Source organism: Homo sapiens, chromosome 1 (assembly GCF_000001405.40).
Source record: "Homo sapiens chromosome 1, GRCh38.p14 Primary Assembly".
NCBI classification, from domain to species: Eukaryota; Metazoa; Chordata; class Mammalia; order Primates; family Hominidae; genus Homo; species Homo sapiens.
The window spans coordinates 84,944,409-84,965,913 of record NC_000001.11 but is presented as its reverse complement, the minus strand read 5'-3'; the positions used below and the strand labels follow the sequence as shown (position 1 = coordinate 84,965,913).

Here is a 21,505-nt window from a genome sequence, read left to right as displayed (position 1 = left end):
TCTGGAATAATTTTTCATGTAGTTTTAGAAATGGGAGAACCTCCCTGCCATAACTAGAGTTGCTTTTTTATTTTGTGTTCATAAAGAGGCTTTTCAGTATATGACATGCCATATGTACCAACTCAAGTTTAGGGAAAGCAAGTTACTTCAAAAGGAACTGAGGGAGAGGCTTTCCTGGATATTTAAAATTAATCTTCTGTGGCAGAAATGCAATGGCACATCGTGATTCTGAGATGAAAGAAGAATGTCTAAGGGAAGACCTGAAGTTTTACTTCATGAGCCCTTGTGAAAAATACCGAGCCAGACGCCAGATTCCGTGGAAACTGGGTTTGCAGATTTTGAAGATAGTCATGGTCACCACACAGGTAACCTATCTTATTATTTCATTTGGTTTTTCCCTTACCACAAGACAAAACTCTTTTCATGTGTTCTGTACTTGACTTTTGTTCTGAAAAGCCCACACTCAAGTTCATAAAACTAAAATTATATTGACTCTGGAGAGCAGAGGCTAGGTTGAAGTTCTGTTTAGAAGACAACCTTGTCATAGTAAGAGATCCTGAGGGCCTCTCTGTACAGATTCTATAAATGCTGAATAAATGCAGATCTGTGGGGAGGGGTTTCTATATCTGAGTGACACACATTTGTGTTCTGGAACTCTCTATTAAACACAGCTTATTCAAATATACTTCCAAAATCTGCATTTTTTTGTCTTCAGACTTATAGAATCCTAAGTTTTCCTTTTATCATAACAGTGTGCTCTATCTAAGTAAATACTGATCCCAGGCGCTATCAGGATTATACAAAAGCTACATTTAGACCTTTTGTTCAAGTTCGTATTATTGAGCTCTTTATTACCATGATCAAAACAGCCATCAGAGTTTTCCTCTAGTTTTGGGGCCTGTATTGCTGAACCAGTATTGGGGAGGCTTCTCTGTAGGTCAGGGATCCCTAACCCCTGGGCCACGGACCTGTTAGGAACCAGGCTGCACAGCAGGAGGTGAGTGGTAGGCAAGGGAGCAAAGCTTTATCTGTTTTTTTAGCTGCTCCCCATGGCTTGCAGTACTGCCTGAGCTCCGCCTCCTGTCAGATCAGTGGTGGCATTAGATTCTCATAGGAACGCAAACCCAATTGTTAACTGCACATGCGAAGGATCTAGGTGCGGCTCCTTATGAGAATCTAATGCCTGATGATCTGTCACTGTCTCCCACCACCCCTAGATGGGACCTTCTAGTTGCAGGAAAACAAGCTCAGGGCCCCCACTAATTCTACATTATGGTGAGTTGTATAATTGTTTCATTATATATTATAATGTGGTAATAATAGAAATAAAATGCACAACTAGTGTAATGCACTTGAATCATCCTGAAACCATTACCCACCCCCCCCCACTCCTGCCCCACTCCAGTCCCTGGAAAAATTGTCTTCTACAAAACCAGTCCCTGGTGCCAACAAGGTTGGGGATCATTGCTGTAGTTAACCATATTTGAAACACACGCCCTTTTAAACTGATTGGGGATATTTGGCTCTATTGGCAAATAATCATTCTGTTATCAGTGTAGAGGTGTGTAAAGATGTTATTTCTGGAACATAAAAATAAATACTTAAAAATACCTTTAGTTTTAGAAATGGGAGACGGTCCCTGCCATAACTAGAGTTGCTTCTTTATTCTGTGTTCATAAAGAGGTTTTCAGTATATGACATGCCATGTGTACCAGCTCAAGTTTAGGGAAAGCAAGTTACTTCAAAAGAAACAACAAGGTTGAGATGCAGAGACATTGTTAAATGTGTATGCTTATTGTTAGCTTATTTCATTCTTTGTTTTGAAGTTTTGGTCTTGGCAACCAATAAAATAGATACATTGATACATTGTTAGTATTACTTGGAAGGAGAAGAAATAATGTCCCCTTTTTTCAGTTGGTTAATTTTAATTGTTTCCCAAAATCTTTTCTTGCTAAACCAACTTCCTTCAATTATTTGATCTATTAACGTTACTAAAATTCTAATTTACCCAGGCATAAAATATCATTGCCATCTGTATTAGTGTGTTCTCCCATTGCTATAAAGAACTACTTGAGACTGGGTAATTTATGAAGAAAAGATATTTAATTGACTTAGTTCTGCAGGCTGTACAAGAAGCATGGCTGGTGAGGCCTCAGGAAACTTACAATCATGGGGGAAGGCGAGGAGGAAGCAGGCACATCTTCGTATGGCAGAGCATGAGAGAGAGCAAAGGGGAAGGTGATACACACTTTTAAACAACCAGATCTCATGAGAACTCACTCACTATCATGAGAACAGCAAGGGGGAGTTCTACCCCCATGATCTAGTCACCTGTCACCAGGAGGCCCCTCCTGCAACATTGGGGATTACAATTCGACTTGAGATTTGGCCAGGGACACAAATATAAACCATATCACCATCTTGGATTTACCTTCTTTTTCCTGATACCTACTAAATCTTATTGATTCTTCCTTCAAAACTGCATCTATTTATGTTTTCCCATACTCACTATCTTCTCTCTAGCACAGACTCTTTAGTTAATGAAAAATAAATGTGAAGCATCTCATATTGTGGGCCTTCTGTTGGGAATACAACTGTGACTGTATTACCAGTGCTGCTGACAGCTAACAGTTAGCTTAGTGTTTGCCATGTCCTAGGCACAATAAATGTTTTATGTACTTCAACTCATTTCATCCTCATTGCAATCCTGTGAGGTAGGTTCAATTATAATCCCCTTTTTATGGATGAAGAAACTGGAGCAAAGGGAGTTAAGTAATTTGCTTACAATCCTTCAGTTAGTAAGTGACAGAACTGGGATTTGTGCTTGGGCAGTCTGGCTCTGGAGTCTGTACTCTTCTCAGACTGTTTCTATTCTAGATATAGGTCCTGTCCTCAGAGTTTGCAGTGTTGGAATATAGATAAGTTAATTAGGCAGCTTCTAGCTTTGTCTTATGCCTACCTTTCTTATCCATATACATTCGATGCTAATATCAGCTTAATTTTTCGTAGAATAGACTTTATTGTGTCACTCTCCTGTTCAGAAACTCCTATAAAACCCTACTTCCCAAGAAGAAAATTTCACCTCTCTAGCCAGGAATTCAAAGAGTTCCAGTCTCCTTCAACTTGTCTTTCCAACAAGTTTTCATCTACTATTTCCTACCCAAATCCCAGCCAGACAGGCCAACCCAATGATTCTCTTCCACATCTTGTTTGTTCGTCCAAGTCCGGGGTGATTCTTTTTCTCCCTCACCTTTCAGGTACTATTTGAAGTCCCATCTCCCCCACTGGGCCTTGCCTGACCATCCAGCACATGGTTTTCTTTGGTACTTCTTCCTGTCTACATGACTAATTTTATTTTTTATTATTTTTTCAAGATGAGGTCTCTCTGTGTCACCCAGGCTGGAGTGCAGTGGCACAATCATAGCTTACTGCAACCTTGAACTCCTGGGCTCAAGAGATCTTCCCACCTCAGCCTCTTAAACAGCTGACTAAAGGCACATGCCACTGCACCTGGCTTTTTATTTTATTTTTGTAGAGATGGGGTCTTGCTTTGTTGCCCAGACTTGATTTGAACTTGTGGCTTCAAACAGTCCTCTCACCTTGGCCTCCCAAAGGGCTGGGATTACAGGCATGAGCCACTGTGCCCAGCCTACTAATTTTACTTTAAATAACAAAATATTTCTGGGAACTGTAGTTTACTTTTCATGTGGGCATACCCTGTTTCCCCTAATAAAATTGGGAAGGATTAAACTTTTGTTTCCATATAGGATCATTCTAACAAATTTTGCTATTTGGGTGATATCTAATTGGAGCAGATTTCTTGATCACCTTTCCTTGCATAATATCTCACTTTTCCCTCCCTCTCTTTTTCTGTCTTTTTGTGTTTCATCCTCAAGTCTAATGGGATGGGTATGAGGACTGATGAGAAAGAAAATTTTTTTAAAATTCCTGCTCTGAATTGTGCAGTAATTTATAATCTTGAGAGAGGTGTCTACATTCTTTTGCTAGTTCTACTCTTTCTCTCCCATATCCTTTGTACATAATTAGAGCAGTATCTTGTTTTTACCTGGTACAGAATATTTTATCCTACATTGATTTCATAATGAGGTCTTAAATTCACAATCTTTGCCAGACTACACTTATAAGTAATTATTTTTCTGTCTTGTATCATACTCTCAGCAAATCTTAATGTCTAATTAGTGGGACTAGGATGCATTTTGCTGTCAATGCCTTTAAAAAAAACCCAGTCATTTGGCCAATACCATCTTCCCTTACTCTTACTCTGCAGGGAGTGTTTGGTTCTGTCATAACAAGAAAGGGACTTCGCAGTTTCCTCCCAACCTTCCCCAATGCTGGGCCATACATTTTTATCTTGGCTTGTTCTATGAATAGAATGGAGGAAATTTCTTGCTCCTGATGCCAGATAGGGGAGGTTCCAAGCAGAGATTACAACAGAGTCCTCTCATCCCCAAAGCTGAGTTTTGATGAGCTTTGAGTTTAAGGTTATGGCTTCAAATATCAGCAAACTATATACCACTTTCATGGTCAGTTTTTTCATTCCCTAGTTTACATTTTTTTTTATTTCTTTAGCTTCACTATTAATGTGGGAGGAATGGGTCTAATATCCCTGCCTCTAGAGTTAAATTGGCAGCATTTCAGTTTAAGAGGCTGTGGGGCCAAGAGGTTGAGAGAACAAACAGACTCTAGAATCAATCAGACCTGGGTCCAGATCCTTACTCTAACATTTTCTGGATATTCCAACCTGGATAAATTACTTGACTTCAGATTGCATATGTATCAAATGGGATTATATTCATCAGCTGATTCAGTGTTTGACATTGTGATGGGCATTATTTCATTTCCTGAGTATATAATAGCAGGGAAAAAGGAAAAACATTCCTGTCCTTGCAGAGCCCAGTGTAATAATAGGGTGTTGAGAATTAAATGAGAAATAATAATTATAAATTTTAGCACAATGCCTGGTTCTCAACAGATAAGAGTTGTTATTCCGTACCATGCAGTGTTCTTTTCCACGTTGTATACCAGCTTGGCTTAGAGTAAGCACTCAGCAAACTTTGATTGAAGAACTTCATTCATGTGTGGTGTGTGTACCAGTTTTTTCATATGTGTCAGTAGTTTTAATAAAACTTTGAAGCAATCATGTATGTGTTGCTTCCCTGGTTTACATTTTAGCTTTCAAGAGCAACATGACCTTTTCTGGCTTCTCCTACAGGCACCATTGACAGACATCACATGCTTAGAAGAACTTATAACCTTCTGTTGCTTAATTTTCAGCACAAGCTGGATGATGTGGGACTTCTTATCTGATGTTTTCCTTAGAATAGCTGAGTTTTAGCAGTTGCACAATCCTTTGACATGGCATTTGAGGAATGTGACATGGTGAGACTCAAATGCTGAACAGTAGCATCTGTGTACCTTCTCAAGCGATAGTTGCCTTTCCTAATTTTGAAAAGCTAGCACTTAAGTTCATTATAAGAAGCATCCTAAAGAACTTTTTCAGCAGAAGGAAGTTGTTTTTATAGCATAACACAGATGACTTTGGAATTAGACTTGGCTTCCATTCTGGTGACTTGGGCAATTTAATGAGGCTAAATCTCAGGTTGCACGTATGTAAAATGGAATAACAGTAGTAACATTTTCATAGTCCGCTTGGGGTAAATGAGGCACTGCATGTAAAGCAGTTAGCACAGTACCTGGCATATAATAATTGCTGAAAATGGTGATTATTTTTCCTAATTCTTTAGTATTTTTTAAAACAACAAAATATAAAAGCTAAAAAATGTAAACCATGAAAAAACCGTATGCCTGTATGTTGTTTGCATATGCAAATTAATATTAGCTATTTTACTTTATTTTTTTAGAGACAGGTTTTGCTATATTGCCAAGGCTAGCCTTGAACTCCTGGGCTTAAGTGATCCTCCCACCTCGGCCTCCCAAGCAGCTGGGACTACAGCCACAGGCCACCTCACCCAGCTAAATTAACATTAGTTTTATCTGAATTGTTCAGAATTGTATCTTGTATATTATTGTTCAGATGTATCATATTGAACCATGGAATGACAACAAATAACAGAACTGTCAGGGTCATCTAGTTACACTTGCTAATTTTACATAGGAAGAAAACAGTCCCAAAATTTGGTGGCTTAGTTGAGTGAGGACTTGGAGCAAACTTTCTAGTCTCATTGTTTTATAAGGCAGCTGAAGAAATCACTTAGGGAGGTGGGGAAAGGTGTGTGGGACAGGGCTTATAGAGATTTGACTACCGTCACTGCCTGTGTATGTATGTGAGAGAGACAGAGAGGACGCACGTGAGAGAGTGTGAATGTGCGTGTGAGAGTGCGTGTGTGATGAGGTATGTGTGTAGCTGTGTGTGTAGTTTCCTAGGTTTTGTGTAAACTTTTGGTGCTGACTAATTTCCTCCATTTATTGGGTTCCAAGAAGAAAACTTTCACTTCTGGTGAAGAGAGCCCTTGGGTGCCTAAATTCTGCCAGAATACAGTGAAAGGGAGAATAAGTGGGCATTTTTTCAGTAGGTGGATGCTTGGTGACAATGAATGGGTTTGACATCATACAAGTAAAGCATGCTCTGTTATTCTTTCATGTGCTTTGATACTGTAGAATTTGGTGAGGGAAACTCTCAGGTGTAAATTTTATACAGAATTCTTGCAGAGCTGAATTAATTGAATTCTTTTGACAACTATTACCTCCTAGCTGGAGTAAGTTTTTATGTAGGCTACTTTTCAAAAAACACTTTTAAAAGCCATATGTAAAACATAGTTGTGATTTTAAAAAATACTACAATTTCTAAATCTTAAATCAATACAATGAGTTACTGCTTTACTAAGTAATTGATTTTGAAAACAATTAACTTGAAATCCAAATATAAGAAAAATGGATTGAGACTTAGCTGATTTGGATTCTTTCTTTCTTTCTTAAAGGCCAGTAGAGTCAGTAGTCATTGGGAGCAGTAATCTCTTCTAATTTTATGCTACTTTGAATTGCTGATGTAGCTTGATGAGGTTATTCTTCTGTGGGACTTGTATTTTGACATTGATGCTATTAGTATAAACCAAAAAAAATTGATATTATTTTCTGATGTTTATAGGTAATGGTTGATGATAGTGAGAAGACATTTGCCTCCCCTGATAAATGGTGTAATTCATGTGTTTCTATTTTATTTTATTTTTTAGCTTGTTCGTTTTGGTTTAAGTAACCAGCTGGTGGTTGCTTTCAAAGAAGATAACACTGTTGCTTTTAAGCACTTGTTTTTGAAAGGATATTCTGGTACAGATGAAGATGACTACAGCTGCAGTGTATATACTCAAGAGGATGCCTATGAGAGCATCTTTTTTGCTATTAATCAGGCAAGTGTTTTGTTGTGAATGACCTATACTTTAACAATGTATTGATACTTGGCCTTGTCTTAGCCAACAAACAAAAATTATACACATGTTAAAATATTCTAATGTAAGTTTTGCAGTCTGCCAAAAAATGTTTATTGCTATTTCTGAAGCTACATTTCTACACAAAAGAGTTTGCCTATTTTGACTTTTTAAAAAATATTTATCTTTTTAATTTATCACTTCATACCTACTGCTTTTGGAAAATTACCCCAGATCAAATAGCAAGAGTAGATTTTTAATCTCAGAAGGCTTGATGAAAGCTTAATATAAAATCAAAGATTCCAGCCTGGCGTAGTGACTCATGCCTGTAATCCAGGCACTCTGGGAGGCTAAAGTGGGTTGATCCTTTGAGTCCAGTCTGGGCAGCATTGTGAAACCCCATCTCTACAAAATAAATAAGTAAATAAATAAAAAAATCAGGGATTCTGTGGCCTTAATTGTGATGTTTTAGCATTAATAACCCTAGCTGAATCTTAAGAATATGGAATATAAAATAGTTGTATCTAGACAGGTATGAGAAAGCAGATTAGTAGACTTGAAGAAATAATTTAGGAAAGAGAAACTGTTCCTGCTCTTTTTCATTCACTCAATAAATATTGAAGTATCTAATATGTAGCAGGTGTTATTCCAGTCATTGAGGATGCATCAGTGAATAAAACAGACAAAGCGCCTTCCTTTATAGAGCTTAATTCTGGAACGAAGAGCTAGACAAAAAGAAGTGAAATGTGTAATATCAAATGCTAGCTCCCTGAGAATACCACACAAAAAACATGTTGATGAGCAAAGCTGAGCTTATTACTTAGAGTGGTAAGGGAGATGCTATATTGATCAGAGGCCATCTTGCCTTGGGTGAGGAGGGAGTTCTTTAATGTGAGGGGAGCTTGATTAGAATTAGGTAAGGATGATGATATAATAATTTAGGACTGATGGACATGGCAAGGTGAGGATTGGGAAGGCAGTTTCAAAGAATCTTGGAGTTGTTTTCAGACAAAATCTTCCAATTGTTATCTATTTCAATGAATTTTTTGGATGTTCCTGAAATAATAGAGGGAATTTTATGGTCCAGGGCAAAAATTTTCAGGAATAGTAAAGTCGTATTAATGAAGACAGAGCTAGTAAAGCCCTATTAGTGCAGATAGCCAACAGTAAAGCCATGTTAATGTAAGCTGAGGTAAGCTAATGTTGGTTCATGTTAGTCATTGATGTAAGCTGTGGAGTGTGGATGGCTCATGTCCTCAGTAGATATTAGAAAGTAATAACTGCTAAGGAGTAAAGCAGGGAAGGAGATGGGAAGTACCTGGGTGCAGTGATGGATGTTTGTGATTTTCTTTCTTTCTTTCTTTTTTACTGCATTTATTTTATTTTTATTTGACAGGGCATAATTGCACACAGTATATAGTTATGGGGTACAATGTGATGTTTTGATATATGTTTGCAATTTTCCTTGGCTTGGGGAGGGAAGGCCTCATTGAGGTGCGGAATTGAGAGCTGAAGGAGTGAGTAAACCGAGCGGGTATGTACGTGGGTCTCCAGGCAGAGGGAACAGCAAAGGCCAGAGGCAAAAATATGCGTGTGAGCTCCAGGAACTGCCTGGAGGGCAGTGCAGCTTTGCAGGTTGGAGCCAAGGGACTGGAGTAGATGAGGTCCTAGAGATAAGGCAGGACCTTGGCTTTGGCTGAGTGAGGTGGGAGCTGTCCATCACCTTGTTTTGTTTCGAGTTCTGTGAGGCAGTGTCTTGCTGAACAAACTGAGAAGATTTCTTTGTAGTATTTTAAATTGGGAAGTTCTATTGAGAGCCATGATGTAAACAATACAAAGTAACTGAAAGTACATTCTATATGCTATAACCTCTGATCAAAGTTATAAAAGGTCATATGTGGTTTTTACTTGACTATTTTTTAATAGTATCATCAGCTAAAGGACATTACCCTGGGGACCCTTGGTTATGGAGAAAATGAAGACAATAGAATTGGCTTAAAAGTCTGTAAGCAGCATTACAAGAAAGGGACCATGTTTCCTTCTAATGAGACACTGAATATTGACAACGACGTTGAGCTCGGTAATGCAGTGATAATTTCATGATGTACCTTTATCGTCTTCTGGTAAGAGCAGAAATGCCCTCATGTGCTAGCAACCCAGATGGAAAAACTTTGCTTTGGTGAGAGCTAACCTGTTAGGGGCTGACACTCCAACACTGGCCTGCAGAGGGGCTTTGGCTCAGGAAACTGTGGGGTTGTGGCGATGGGACAGGGACAGCATTTGTGGATCTGTTTGGAGCAACTCAAGATTGTTGGTTTGGGGGTATATTCACAGGTCCTGTTTTTTGTTTTTTTTTCCCTATGAAGGGGTGATTAGGCTTTCTGAAAAAACGGTCTGTATGTGTTAAATGAAATAATATACATAAAGATGTTTTGTACACTTGTTTTTATTATTTGTAAAATATAGAAATGCTCTTCAAAGGTGAATTGTGATTAACAACTCACTTTCTCTCTTAGGAGATCCCTTGGCAACAAGTTAATGGCTAATCAAGTCGAATTGTTTTGTGCTATTTTGTTAAGAATTTAAGAGCATACTGTATGTAAATACGAGGTGTTTGGCTTAAGACTTTTTGTTTTTTAAAATAATGTTTCATTATTTTATTGTTTTGTTGTTCACTCAACAAACCTCTGGTGTGTAGTCATCATGTTTTCATATCATACTGTAATAATCCCAGTTATTCAAGCCCCGTACTTGAAGTTGCCAATTTCCCCATTTTCACTGCCACCACTGTCATCCAAGCCACTACTTGTGGTCTCCCTGCTTCTGGTCTTGCCTCTACGAGCCCCTGCCCTGCCCTGCAGAAACCGCAGTGGTAAATCAGGTCATATCTCTTCCAGGCTTAAAAATCATTAGTGGCTTCCCATCCCATTTAGAATAAAATCCACAAGTCCTTATAGAAACTAGCCCCCTGCCTGCCTCTCCAGACCCCTGTCCTCATTTCTCTGTTGTAACATCCTTTCTGTTTGCTGAGCAAGCCAGGCTCTTTCTTGCTTGGAGGTCTTAGTGCTTGATTTTTTTCCTGTTTGGATCTATGCATAGCTGGTTCTTTTTCCTTTCAGGAAAAAGGTTTCAGTTCAAACATGTTTCGCACCGTGAAAGCCATTCCCTAACTATCTTTCCTAAGGTGGACTCCCCCTCTGTATTAGTCTGTTCTCATGCTGCTAATAAAGACATACGCAATAATTTATAAAGGAAAGAGGTTTAATTGACTTACAGTTCTGCAGGGCTGTGGAGGCCTCAGGAAACTTACAATCATGGTGGAAGGGGAAGCAAACACATCCTTCTTTACATGGTGGCAGGAAGGAGAAGTGCAGAGCAAAGTGAGAAAAGCCTCCTATAAAACCATCAGATCTCATGAGAACTCACCCATTATCACAAGAACAGCAGCATGGGGGTAACTGCCCCCATGATTTAATTACCTCCTACTGGGTCCCTCTCACAACATGTGGGGATTATGGAAACTACAATTCAAGATGAGATTTGGTTGGGGACACAGACAAACCATATCACCCTCTTAGTTATTCTTGTTCACTTTATCTTCATAGTACTTCTCACACTGTGAAATTACCTTGTATATATTTTTACTTACTGTTATCTCCCCCACTAGAATGTGAGCTCCATGAAGATGGTAACCATGTCTGTCTTGTTCATTGCTTTACCTTCAGTGCCTAGCACAGTGCCTGGCTTTCAGCAAATATTTACTGAATAAACGAATGAGTTGGGTATGGAGCCTGGGTCTTTGATGTTCTTCTAAAATATGTGCTCAGAGGTCAACCTCCTCAGTGCACTGGTTGAGCTCAGGCTCTAGAACCAAGCACAAGTCGAATTAACTTTTGGATACCTAGTAGCTACCTGTGTGACCTTGAGGAAGTTTCTTGGCCTCTCTGGGCCTTGGTTTGTTCATTTGTGAAATGGCACTAATAGTGCCTATCTCACAAGGTTGCTTTGAAGATTAAATGAGATGATGCATTAATTGAGAGAATATATAAAGTCCAGCACAGTGTCTGGTATGGAGTTAAGTGCCAATATGTTTTTGCTATTTCTATCATCAGTCTTTTCCTGCCAGAAACAAGTTTCTTTTGACCAACTTCCCTCACTGTACTAATTAAGGTCTAGTCAGGAAAACCAGTATTGAGTTGTGTAATACTCCATCTGCCAAACACAGGGAGACACACTCTCTGCAACTATCTTTTAAAAATATTGTGTCTATTGAGTTGTCTGTTTAGCTCTGGGCCCTGTTTCTGGCTCAGGACATCTAATTTTCATTAAACGTAAGTGTATCCCGTGTATCAGGACATATTTTGAGTGCCAGCTACATGCTAGGCAATGGGCGTTTAGCAAGGTGCAATAAAGTTGTGCTCTTGATCTCAAAGACCTTATACTCTAGTTGGAAGGATAAATAAGCAAATGAAGAGTTGCAGTTGTGGAATAACACTTTTGAAGAATCAGCCAGTGAGTTTTCCAAGATTCATGAACACCTACTAGGTGCCAGGCACTGCACAAGGCCCCAACTTTTCCATTTCAAAGTCAGCATGGAAGGGGCAGCAACAGCCTGGGCAAGGGTCACCCATGCTGGTTTCATACCAGTTCTGTCACTAGGTTTCTGTGACCCTGAAAGGTGCTTGTCTTTAGAGCTCCTTGTTTCCTGCCCTGTAAAACAAGGGTGTTAGCCTACACAATAATGAGACTAATTTTTATGTGAGGTTCTTGGAATCTTTCTTCTATCATTTACAGCTCATAATCTGTTTTTACTTGAATACAACCTGTGTTCTTTTTCTTTCTATTTTTTTACTTTGAAAAAGTGCCAGACTTACCAGAAAAGTTACAAAATAGCACAAATATTTCCTGTATAGCCTTCATCCAGATTTCCCCAATACTAACATTTTTTTTTTTTTTTTTTGAGATAGAGTTTCGTTCTTGTCGCCCAGGCTGGAGTGCAGTGGCGCAATCTTGGCTCACTGAAACCTCTGCCTCCCGGGTTCAAGCAATTCTCCTGCCTCAGCTTCCTGAGTAGCTGGGATTACAGGCGCACGCCACCACGCCCGGCTAAATTTTGTATTTTTAGTAGAGACGGCGTTTCACCATGTTGGTCAGACTGGTTTTGAACTCCTAACCTCATGATCCGCCCACCTTGGCCTCCTAAAGAGCGGGGATTACAGGTGTGAGCCACCGTGCCTGGCCAATACTAACATTTTATCACATTTGCTTGATCATTCTTTCTATGCATAAATATTTCTCCTGGAGGTGCAGACATGCTATTCCTTTGCCCCTAAATACTTCAGTGTGCATTTCCCCAAAACAAGAACATTCTCCTACACAACCACTATACAGTGCTCAAAATAATGAGTTATCATTGATACAATACTATATTCTACAAACCCTATTCACATTTCATAAATTTTCCTAATGTTCTTTATCATAAAATGAAAACTGCACCCAACTCCAAGATCCTATTCAGGATAACATCTGGCATTTAGTTGTCATGTTATGTCTTTTCAGTCTAAAGTTTCTTGGTTTTTGTTTGTTTAACTTTTATGATCTTGATACATTTAAAGAGTAGAATGTCTCTCACGTTGGGTTTTTCTGTTTCTTCATGACTAGATTGAAGTTATACATTTTTTGGCAGGAATACCACACAAGTGATGTCATATGCTTCTCAGTTCATTGTATCAGGAGGTACATGTCTGTTTATCTCATTACTGTGATGTAACTGATCACTTGGTTAGTGTGGTGTCTGCCAGGTTCACTTGACAGGTGTCTGTGAGGTTACTATCATTTTTCCTGAATAATTGCTAAGTATTTTCTAGGGAGATACTTTGAAACTCCGTAAGTAACCTGCTTCTTGTCACACTTTCACCCATTAGTTTTAGCACCTAATTCTTGCCTGAAACAACCATTTCTTGTTCTTTCATTGCCCTAGATTGTGTTCAATTAGACCTTCAGGACCTCTCCAAGAAGCCTCCGGACTGGAAGAACTCATCATTCTTCAGACTGGAATTTTATCGGTAAATACATTTTAAAGTGTTATTCCCTAAGAGATGAGGGTGGGAGAAGGAGAATAGTATATAGTAAGATTATGACAATTTATACCTTTCAATATATTTTATTCAGGCTCTTACAGGTTGAAATCTCCTTTCATCTTAAAGGCATTGACCTACAGACAATTCATTCCCGTGAGTTACCAGACTGTTATGTCTTTCAGAATACGGCAAGTATCTTTGTTTTACTAGCTACTTCCTTTTATTTTTTTCCTACACTTTTTGTTGATGCAGAGTATAAAACACAGCAGCCTACAGATGTGTTAAATGCAGTCATGTTTAAAACAGATTTAGTGATACAATATGATACTCTTTTCTTTTTTTCTAATACATAGTCTCGCTCTGTCACCCAGGCTGGAGTGCAGTGGCGTGATCTCAGCTCACTGCAATCTCTGCCTCCCAGATTCAAACGATTCTCATGCCTCAGCCTCCCAAGTAGGTGGGATTACAGGCATGTGCCACCACACCCAGCTTAACTTTTTTGTGTTTTTATTAATAGTAAAGACAAGACAGGGTTTTGCCATGTTGGCCAGGCTGGTCTCGAACTCCTGGCCTCAAGTGATCTGCCTGCCTCGGCCTCCCAAAATGCTGGGATTACAGGCATGAGCCACCATGCCCAGCCTCATTATGGTATTATTGTTGATCCAGAGACCATTACTTCTGAAGATGAAGCAAACCCTTTTCAACTTTTAAAAACCAAGTTTCTACATTGAAAAGAAGAGTTTAAAAAATTGGCTTTGACTTTCTACTCTCCTAATACATTTTTTAAAATGTTTATGAAGGTGTTTTACATGTCTATAGTGTTCTTCCCAGCTTTAGAGGAAGGTCTTTGCAAATGTTATAGCAAATATTTTCAAACCTCGAGGCATAAACTGCTCCACTGATGTGAAGACCAGTCTGCAAAGGAGCAGTTGTTTCTCTTTTTATTTTGGGAGGGGGCATGTATAGTAGAAGAGACAGTTCACTTTTATGGGGAAGTAAGCTGCCTTCTCATTTTCATAGACTTTCTCTGTCCTTCTCGCCTTCCTTCTTTTTCTCCCTCCCTGCCTTCCCTGTTCATTAAGGGACTAAACTGAATGCCTAGCTGAAAGTTGTATATACTGTCCTTTAGCAATTCAGAAGAGTGTTTCATTCAACTATCAATAAATACTTAATGAGTCCATACTATGCACCAGGCATTTTGCTATGCCCTAGAGGCACAGTGGCCCTCAGGAAAGCTTACAGCCTAGTAGGGGAAACAGAAAAACAAGTAAACGAAATAAAAGTAACTACAGGTTGTGATATGTGGTAAGGAAGAATGTCTCCAGCTGCAAGCTCTCTGGGGTGGGTGGGCCAGAGGAGCACTGGGAGCATCTGCAGGGATGAGGAGAAAGGCAGGAGAGGAGCATGGAGTTTGGTCTGCAAGGATGAGGTCATTGATGACTTTGTCATGATATGGTCGGAAGTGTGGGTTTAAAAATATTGGCTTTTCATTTTTATTTTGTTCTTTGGACTTCTGTCTGCTTTGAGAAAAGCATTTTAGGGGCTCTCCTGGGGGAAACAGAGATCTTGAGTGCCAGTGCTAATGGAGGTTTAATCATAACTTACAGGTATAGAAATGAGGATGGTATGGTTTAATTCTCAAACCTTTGGTTTGAGTGTGTGATCTTGGGCAAACCTGGCTTGTGTTCAGAGACAGGCAGGTGCATGTGGATTTGATCACCTACATATCCGGCTCTCCAAGCTCTGCCAGTGAACTTTTTGGTTTTCTTAATGTGTTCACCCTAATAAGTACTTGGCATATATCACTTATAAACTGTAAATGATTTAAATGATTGATTTAAATTTCATAAGGTAGAAGATTGAGGGCATTTGGACATCTTAAGTTCAGCCTGCAGTCTTGGAGCAATCTTTGTTCTTTCTGAAAACATTATATGTAGCTCTTGAAACAAATAGAAAAATAATTTCTAGCCTAACAAAAACTAGAATTTCATACCCAAAGAACTAAATTGAAGGAAATGCTTTTAAATTCAATTCAGAATAATAAATGAGATCATTTGTGTTCTTTCAAAGGTTAGTTAATTTTGGTTTTTATTCCTAGGACTGGTTGTCTGTTTTTCTCTAGGATTTCTCTGAACCAGATATCTGATATCCTGTATTTAGTAAAACTTCACATATTAGCCCTTTCAATCATATTTGTTTCACTAATAACAGAAAGTTGTGAAGAAATCTTGTGATGTGAACATTTTCATTGGCATAATTCTCTTTGTTGCCTTAATTTATGTCTTTATTGTGAGTTCCTTAGCCTCTAATTGTACTTGTGTTTGTTTTTTACAATTTTGACTTAAAACCTTCATACTAGAGGACTAAGAGATTTATATAGCACCATTCCAATACTGGGGTATTCTGAATTTGATTATAAACTTACCTCTACTGTTGAGTTTTATGCTTTCACATGTTTTCATGATAATTATTGTTCATTTCCAGTTTTAGTGCTCCCTCAAGCATTTCTTGAAAGGCTGGTCTAGTGGTGAAAATTCCCTCAGCTTTTGCTTGTCTGGGGAGGTCTTTATTTCTTCTTCATTTCTGAAGGATGGCTTTGCTGGATATAGTATTCTTGACTGACAGTTTTGTTGTTTTTTTTTTTCTTTAAACCCTTTGAATATATCATCTCATTCTCTCCTGGCCTGCCTGGTTTCTGCTGAGAAATGTTCTGATAGTCTAATGGAGATTCTGTTATGTGTGACTTGATGTTTTTCTCTTGCAGTATTTTTTTATTTTTATTTTTTGAGACGGAGTCTTGCTCTGTTGCCCAGGCTGGAGTGCATGCAGTGGCACAATCTCCGCTCACTGCAAGCTCTGCCTCCCAGGTTCACGCCATTCTCCTGCCTCAGCCTCCTGAGTAGCTGGGACTACAGGCACCTGCCACCACGCCCAGCTAATTTTTTTTTGTATTTTTAGTAGAGACGAGGTTTCACCGTGTTAGCTAGGATGGTCTTGATCTCCTGACCTCGTGATCTGTCTGCCTTAGCCTCCCAAAGTGTTGGGATTACAGGCGTGAGCCACCGCGCCCGGCCTATTTGCAGCTTTTAGAATTGCCTCTGTCTTTGACTTTTGACAGATTGATTATAATGGGCCTTGGAGAGAATCTTTTTGGGGTGAATCTAATTGGGGATCTTTGAGCTTCCTAGATCTGGATGTCCATATCTCTCCCAAGACTTGAGAAGATTTCAACTGGGTTATTTGAAAAGACCTGTCTTCAAGTTCAGAAATTCTTTTCATTTTATTTTACTTTATTTTTATCGAGACAGAGTCTCAATCTATTGCCTAGGCTGGAGTGCAGTGGTGTGATCTCAGCTCAGTGCAGCCTCCGCCTCCTAGATTCAAGTGATTCTCATGCCTCAGCCTCCCCAGTGGCTGGGATTGCAGGCACCTGCCACCGCACCCAGCTAATTTTGTATTTTCTATTAGAGATGGGGTTTCACCATGTTGGCCAGGCTGGTCTCAACCTCCTGACCTAAAATGATCCACCTGCCTTGGCCTTCCAAAGTGCTGGGATTACAGGCAGGCCACTGCACCCGGCCAGAAATTCATTTTTCTTTGCTTGATGTAGTCTGTTGTTGAAGCTCTCAATTGTAATTTTTTAATTTCACTCATTGAATAATTCAGCTCCAAGATTTTTGTTTGGTTCTTTTTTATGCTATGTCTCTCTGTTGAATTTCTCAATCAAATCATAAATTATGTTCCTGGTTTCATTGAATTGTTTGTATTCTTTTATATCTCACTGAGCTTTCTTAAGATCATTATTTTGAATTTTTCAGGCATTTAATGAATATCCTTTTCTTTGGGGTCTGCTACTTGAGAATTATTATGTTCTTTTGGGTGCCATGTTTTCTTGCCTTTTCATGTTTCTTGTGTCCCTACATTGTTATCTATGCATCTAGTGAAATAGTTGCTTTTTCCAATTTTATGGAATAGCTTTCACAGGGATAGACTTTTTCCTGTAGATGGGCCCTAGGGTGTTGGTTGGTTATAGTGGCTTTGGTTCTGGGCAGACTCAGTAGTATGGTGTCCATGCAGTTTGTTCAGTTGTACTCCTTGTCAGTGATGTCTGTGATTGGCTCAGTGGCCTAAGCTGAGGGAGTTTTTAACAGCAATGACACAGTTTTGCTGGAGGCAGGGATGCCAGACTTGTTGTCGGGCTGGACATGTGCATACATGATAAGCAGCAGGCTGTGTGGCAGGCTCTTCAACTGGGTAGGGGCAATTGCTGCCCAGCTGGTTGTCAGGCCAGGTGTGCATGGTTGTGGTGGGGCCAGTAGGCTGTGAGGCAGGCTCTTTAGAGATGCGAAGTTACAGCTGAACTGGCTGTCAGGCCTGTGTGGGTGTGGAGAGACAGCCAACTGTGTGGCCCAAGTGTGCACAAGCACAGCACACCAGCCAGCTGTTTGGCAGCTTCCTGCTGTGCACTTCTGCCTGTTCCCAGGGGCAGGGGCAGGAAGGGGTGCTGCATGGATTCAGATGTCAGGGTCTCAGATGTTCCATCAGGTCTAGGCTCTAGGCAGCCAGTGTCATGGTGTTGCAGGCACCTTTGTGAACATGGTAGAATAATGGCAGGACTTCAGGGATGGAGAGACACAAAGAGTACTGGCCCCCAGGGCAGAACACACTCTGTTAGCATCTGGTCTCTAAATGGTGTCATGCCATAGCAGCTTAGGTCACAGAGGTGAAGAGTGCGCAATGTGTGCTTCCACTCTGGGGCAGCATGGCTGTATGAACTCCCGGCACCTCTCCAAACTGGATTCAAAGCCTGTGAGGACTGGAGGGCTCTCCTGTAGCAAGGACTGCTGGCATTCTGTGGCCATAATGAGGACCACCAGAGTCTCTAGCCTAACGTTTTCCTATCCAAAGAGATTCCCCTGGCTCTAAGCTGATCCTGGCTGGGGAGACAGTGTGGCAGAGGCAGGGTGCCTTGCTCCCCTTCCTATGTTGCTGTCCTGGGCTTTCATGCTCCACAGGATTTTCCTGCTACCCTGGTGCTCTCCAGTGTACTTCTTTAGTGATTTCAGTCAAAATATAGTTGTTTATTCATTATTTTGGTCCCGTGTGTGTGTGTGTGTGTGTGTGGTGGGGGGTGCAGGAAATGAGTGTCAAGTAATTCTAGTCAGCCATTTTGCTGGCCTGTGTAATTCTCTTTGGATCAGCACACTGGATGCCAGTGATTTTTTTTTTAAGCAGATTTGATCTAACATGTTATACTTTCTTCTGTGTTGTAATCTCGCTATACATTTGTGTCTCCAGATTATCTTTGACAATAAAGCTCACAGTGGCAAAATCAAAATCTATTTTGACAGTGATGCCAAAATTGAAGAATGTAAAGACTTGAACATATTTGGATCTAGTAAGTATGCTATATACTTGCCCATGGGAATTATAGATGATTTTTAACACTTTATTTTGTGGCTTGGGGTATTTAAATGGTTTGTTTGCATGATAATAGGAAGAAAACCGCCTCGAGCATTAGATCCTGTAAAGAATATCCCAAAGCCTTGTATTTTTGTTTAATTCAGCAAATGTTTATTATATGCCTCTTAGAAGAGGTAGCATGACTCAGTGGTTAGGAGCTTAGCTCTGGAGCCAGATTGCCTGGGTTTCGGTCCCAGTTCTGTTTACTGTGCCTGTGATCTTGTACAAGTTACTTAACCTGTCTGTCTCAGTATCTTTCTATGTAAAATGAGAGTAATAGTATAGGTTGAACATCCCAAATCGGAAAAATCTGAAATCAAAATGCTCTAAAATTTGAAACATTTGAGCACTGACATGACCAAAGCTCAAAGGAAATGCTTATTGGAGCATTTTGGATTCTGAATTTTTGGATTTCGGATGCTCAACCTGTAAGTATAATGCAAGTATTCCAAAATCAAAAGAAATCTGAAATACTTTTGGTCCCAAATCATTCTGGATAGGGCATACTCAGCCTAAACTTACCTTCCAGGATATTGAATATTAAATGAATTAGTATATAAAGCAAAGCACTGAACACAAGAGTTGGCACATATTAATTGCTAGGCATTATGGGAAAAGGAAGAAAATGCCTTAGTGAGAGAGACTGACGTGCTTATAAAATCTGTGATGTGTTATGGAGAGAAATAAGGGTATACATACAAAAAGTATGAGGAGAAAAAAAGCAAAGGTAATAAGTTTGAGTGGGGCAGAGTAGGAAAAGAAATGATTCTTGGAGAAGGTATGCTTTGATCTGAGCCTTGGACAGTGGGGAAGGATCAGGGCCTTCAGAGCCCAGACAGCAACCGCTGCAAATGCTGAGTCATTTACTCAGTCATTGCTCAAAAAACATCTCTTAATCCACATGTTTAAAATGGGCTACTGCTGAGCACAGTGGCTCACACCTGTAATCCCAGCACTTTGGGAGGCCTACGCGGGTGGATCACTTGATGTCAGGAGTTCAAGATCAGCCTGGTCAACATGACAAAACCGCGTCTCTACTAAAAACACAAAAATTAGCCGGGCATGGTGGCACATGCACCTGTAATCCCAGCTACTTGGGAGGCTGAGGCAGGAGAATTGCTTGAACCTGAGAGGCAGAGGCTGCAGTGAACCGAGATCATGCCACTGCACTCCAGCCTGGGCAACAGAGTGAGACTTTGTCTCAAAAATAAGTAAAATAAATAAAAAAATTAAAATAAAATAAAATATCATGGGCTACCTATGGAACCTGTTCTGTTTGCTCAGTAAAGAATTAGGATGATGTTAATGATGGATGCTCAGTGTTTTTTATTTTGCAGATTTTGTTTAAATGACTTTCCTTTTGACCAGGTTATCAGAATGAAATAAAATGTAAAATACCTGTGGCTTCTGTTTTATATTTGTTTTAAAGTATATTTGATTTGTGGCCTGCTGCTTTTCAGATGTATAATATGTCCTGACGATTGAAGTTTTGGTTTCAATAATTTCACTGACTGACTTAAGCCACCGATTATAGTTTCAGTTTCTGTTAAAAAGTGGTTACTATTCCCCAGCATACACCACTCTCTTACAGATACGCAGAGATCAGGGGCATATTTTCTAAGTCCAAGTATAGGTTGCCAATTTTCTGTGAAAAGAAACTAACCTTTGTCAAATATGTGATTTGGAATATCATTATAAAGATCAAAATGATGGAAATTTCCAAGCTAGTCAGTCAAATGCATTTCCAGAACAGTGAGTTTTTCCTTCCGCCTGCTGCCCTCCTTGCAACGTTAGGGGTTTTCCTTGCTTGTGCTCAGAAGAGAGTATCTCTAGCCCCCTCCTGTGGCCAATGAGGAGAAACACAAGCCTCCTAGACCACTGGGTAAAAGCTCTTTTAAGATTTACATATTCTCCTAGAGCTGTGTCTTAAGAAACCAGGTTCTATCACTAGGAGAATGTGAATTTAAAATAAGATGATGTGATGTGAAAGCCTTAAAAAACTTATGTTTGGAAACCATCTTAGGAAATGGACTTTTTCCCCTATATGAAGCTGTCTGGTGGATTGAGATTGCCTTGGCTTTGGGGGAAGTGGGCAAGGACAAGGGCGACATCTGGTGGGACACTTACACTATTTCTAACAGTTCAGAGGCTCATTCACACCCACACGCTTACCCCCAGGCTCCTCTCTCCTTTGTCATTACCCATATTGAAGCAAATGCAGGTGAATGTCCATTTTCACATACAAACCTCATGCTGCCTTTTGTGACTCCGAAGTCCCCTCTCTAAATGTGCCATGTCTTCATTTAACTTGGTTTCATAAATATAGGAATTTGGAGATGAGGGGCTTGGGGAGGAATTGGGGGACTCCTTCTTGGCGGGATTCCCCAGTGATGGGTGATATAGATGTTTTTTTTCTTTCTTTCTTTCTTTCTTTTTGAGACAGAGTCTCGCTCTGTCTCCCAGGCTGGAGTGCAGTGGCACGATCTTGCTCACTGCAACCTCCACCTCCTGGGTTCAAGCAATTCTTCTGCCTTAGCCTCTCAAGTAGCTGGGACTACA

The 21,505-nt window shown here is 39.9% G+C and overlaps 1 protein-coding gene across 8 annotated transcripts in view, besides 3 other annotated features; it reads left to right on the top strand.

Annotated features, from left to right (window-relative positions):
• Window positions 1-21,505, top strand: part of MCOLN2 (mucolipin TRP cation channel 2) — a 71,531-nt gene that overhangs the window by 31,200 nt on the left and 18,826 nt on the right. For all 8 annotated transcript variants that reach the window (XM_005270719.4, NM_153259.4, NM_001330647.2 and 5 more), the window contains 6 exons: window positions 206-365; window positions 7,212-7,385; window positions 9,330-9,483; window positions 13,384-13,468; window positions 13,575-13,671; window positions 18,782-18,881. In XM_005270719.4, coding sequence (XP_005270776.1) covers window positions 213-365; window positions 7,212-7,385; window positions 9,330-9,483; window positions 13,384-13,468; window positions 13,575-13,671; window positions 18,782-18,881 — 763 coding nt within the window. In that variant the 5' untranslated portion in view covers window positions 206-212. The remainder of the gene's footprint in view (window positions 1-205; window positions 366-7,211; window positions 7,386-9,329; window positions 9,484-13,383; window positions 13,469-13,574; window positions 13,672-18,781; window positions 18,882-21,505) is intronic.
• Window positions 17,565-17,764: an enhancer, noted in NCBI's record as "active region_1260". NCBI's record gives its function as "activates an Ori minimal core promoter by ATAC-STARR-seq in GM12878 lymphoblastoid cells {active_cell/tissue: GM12878}" and the evidence as "EXISTENCE:reporter gene assay evidence [ECO:0000049][PMID:35858748]".
• Window positions 17,835-17,884: a silencer, noted in NCBI's record as "silent region_1026". NCBI's record gives its function as "represses an Ori minimal core promoter by ATAC-STARR-seq in GM12878 lymphoblastoid cells {active_cell/tissue: GM12878}" and the evidence as "EXISTENCE:reporter gene assay evidence [ECO:0000049][PMID:35858748]".
• Window positions 20,654-20,948: an enhancer, noted in NCBI's record as "tiled region #13288; HepG2 Activating non-DNase unmatched - State 4:PromP". NCBI's record gives its function as "activates a minimal TATA promoter and a strong SV40 promoter by Sharpr-MPRA in HepG2 cells {active_cell/tissue: HepG2}" and the evidence as "EXISTENCE:reporter gene assay evidence [ECO:0000049][PMID:27701403]".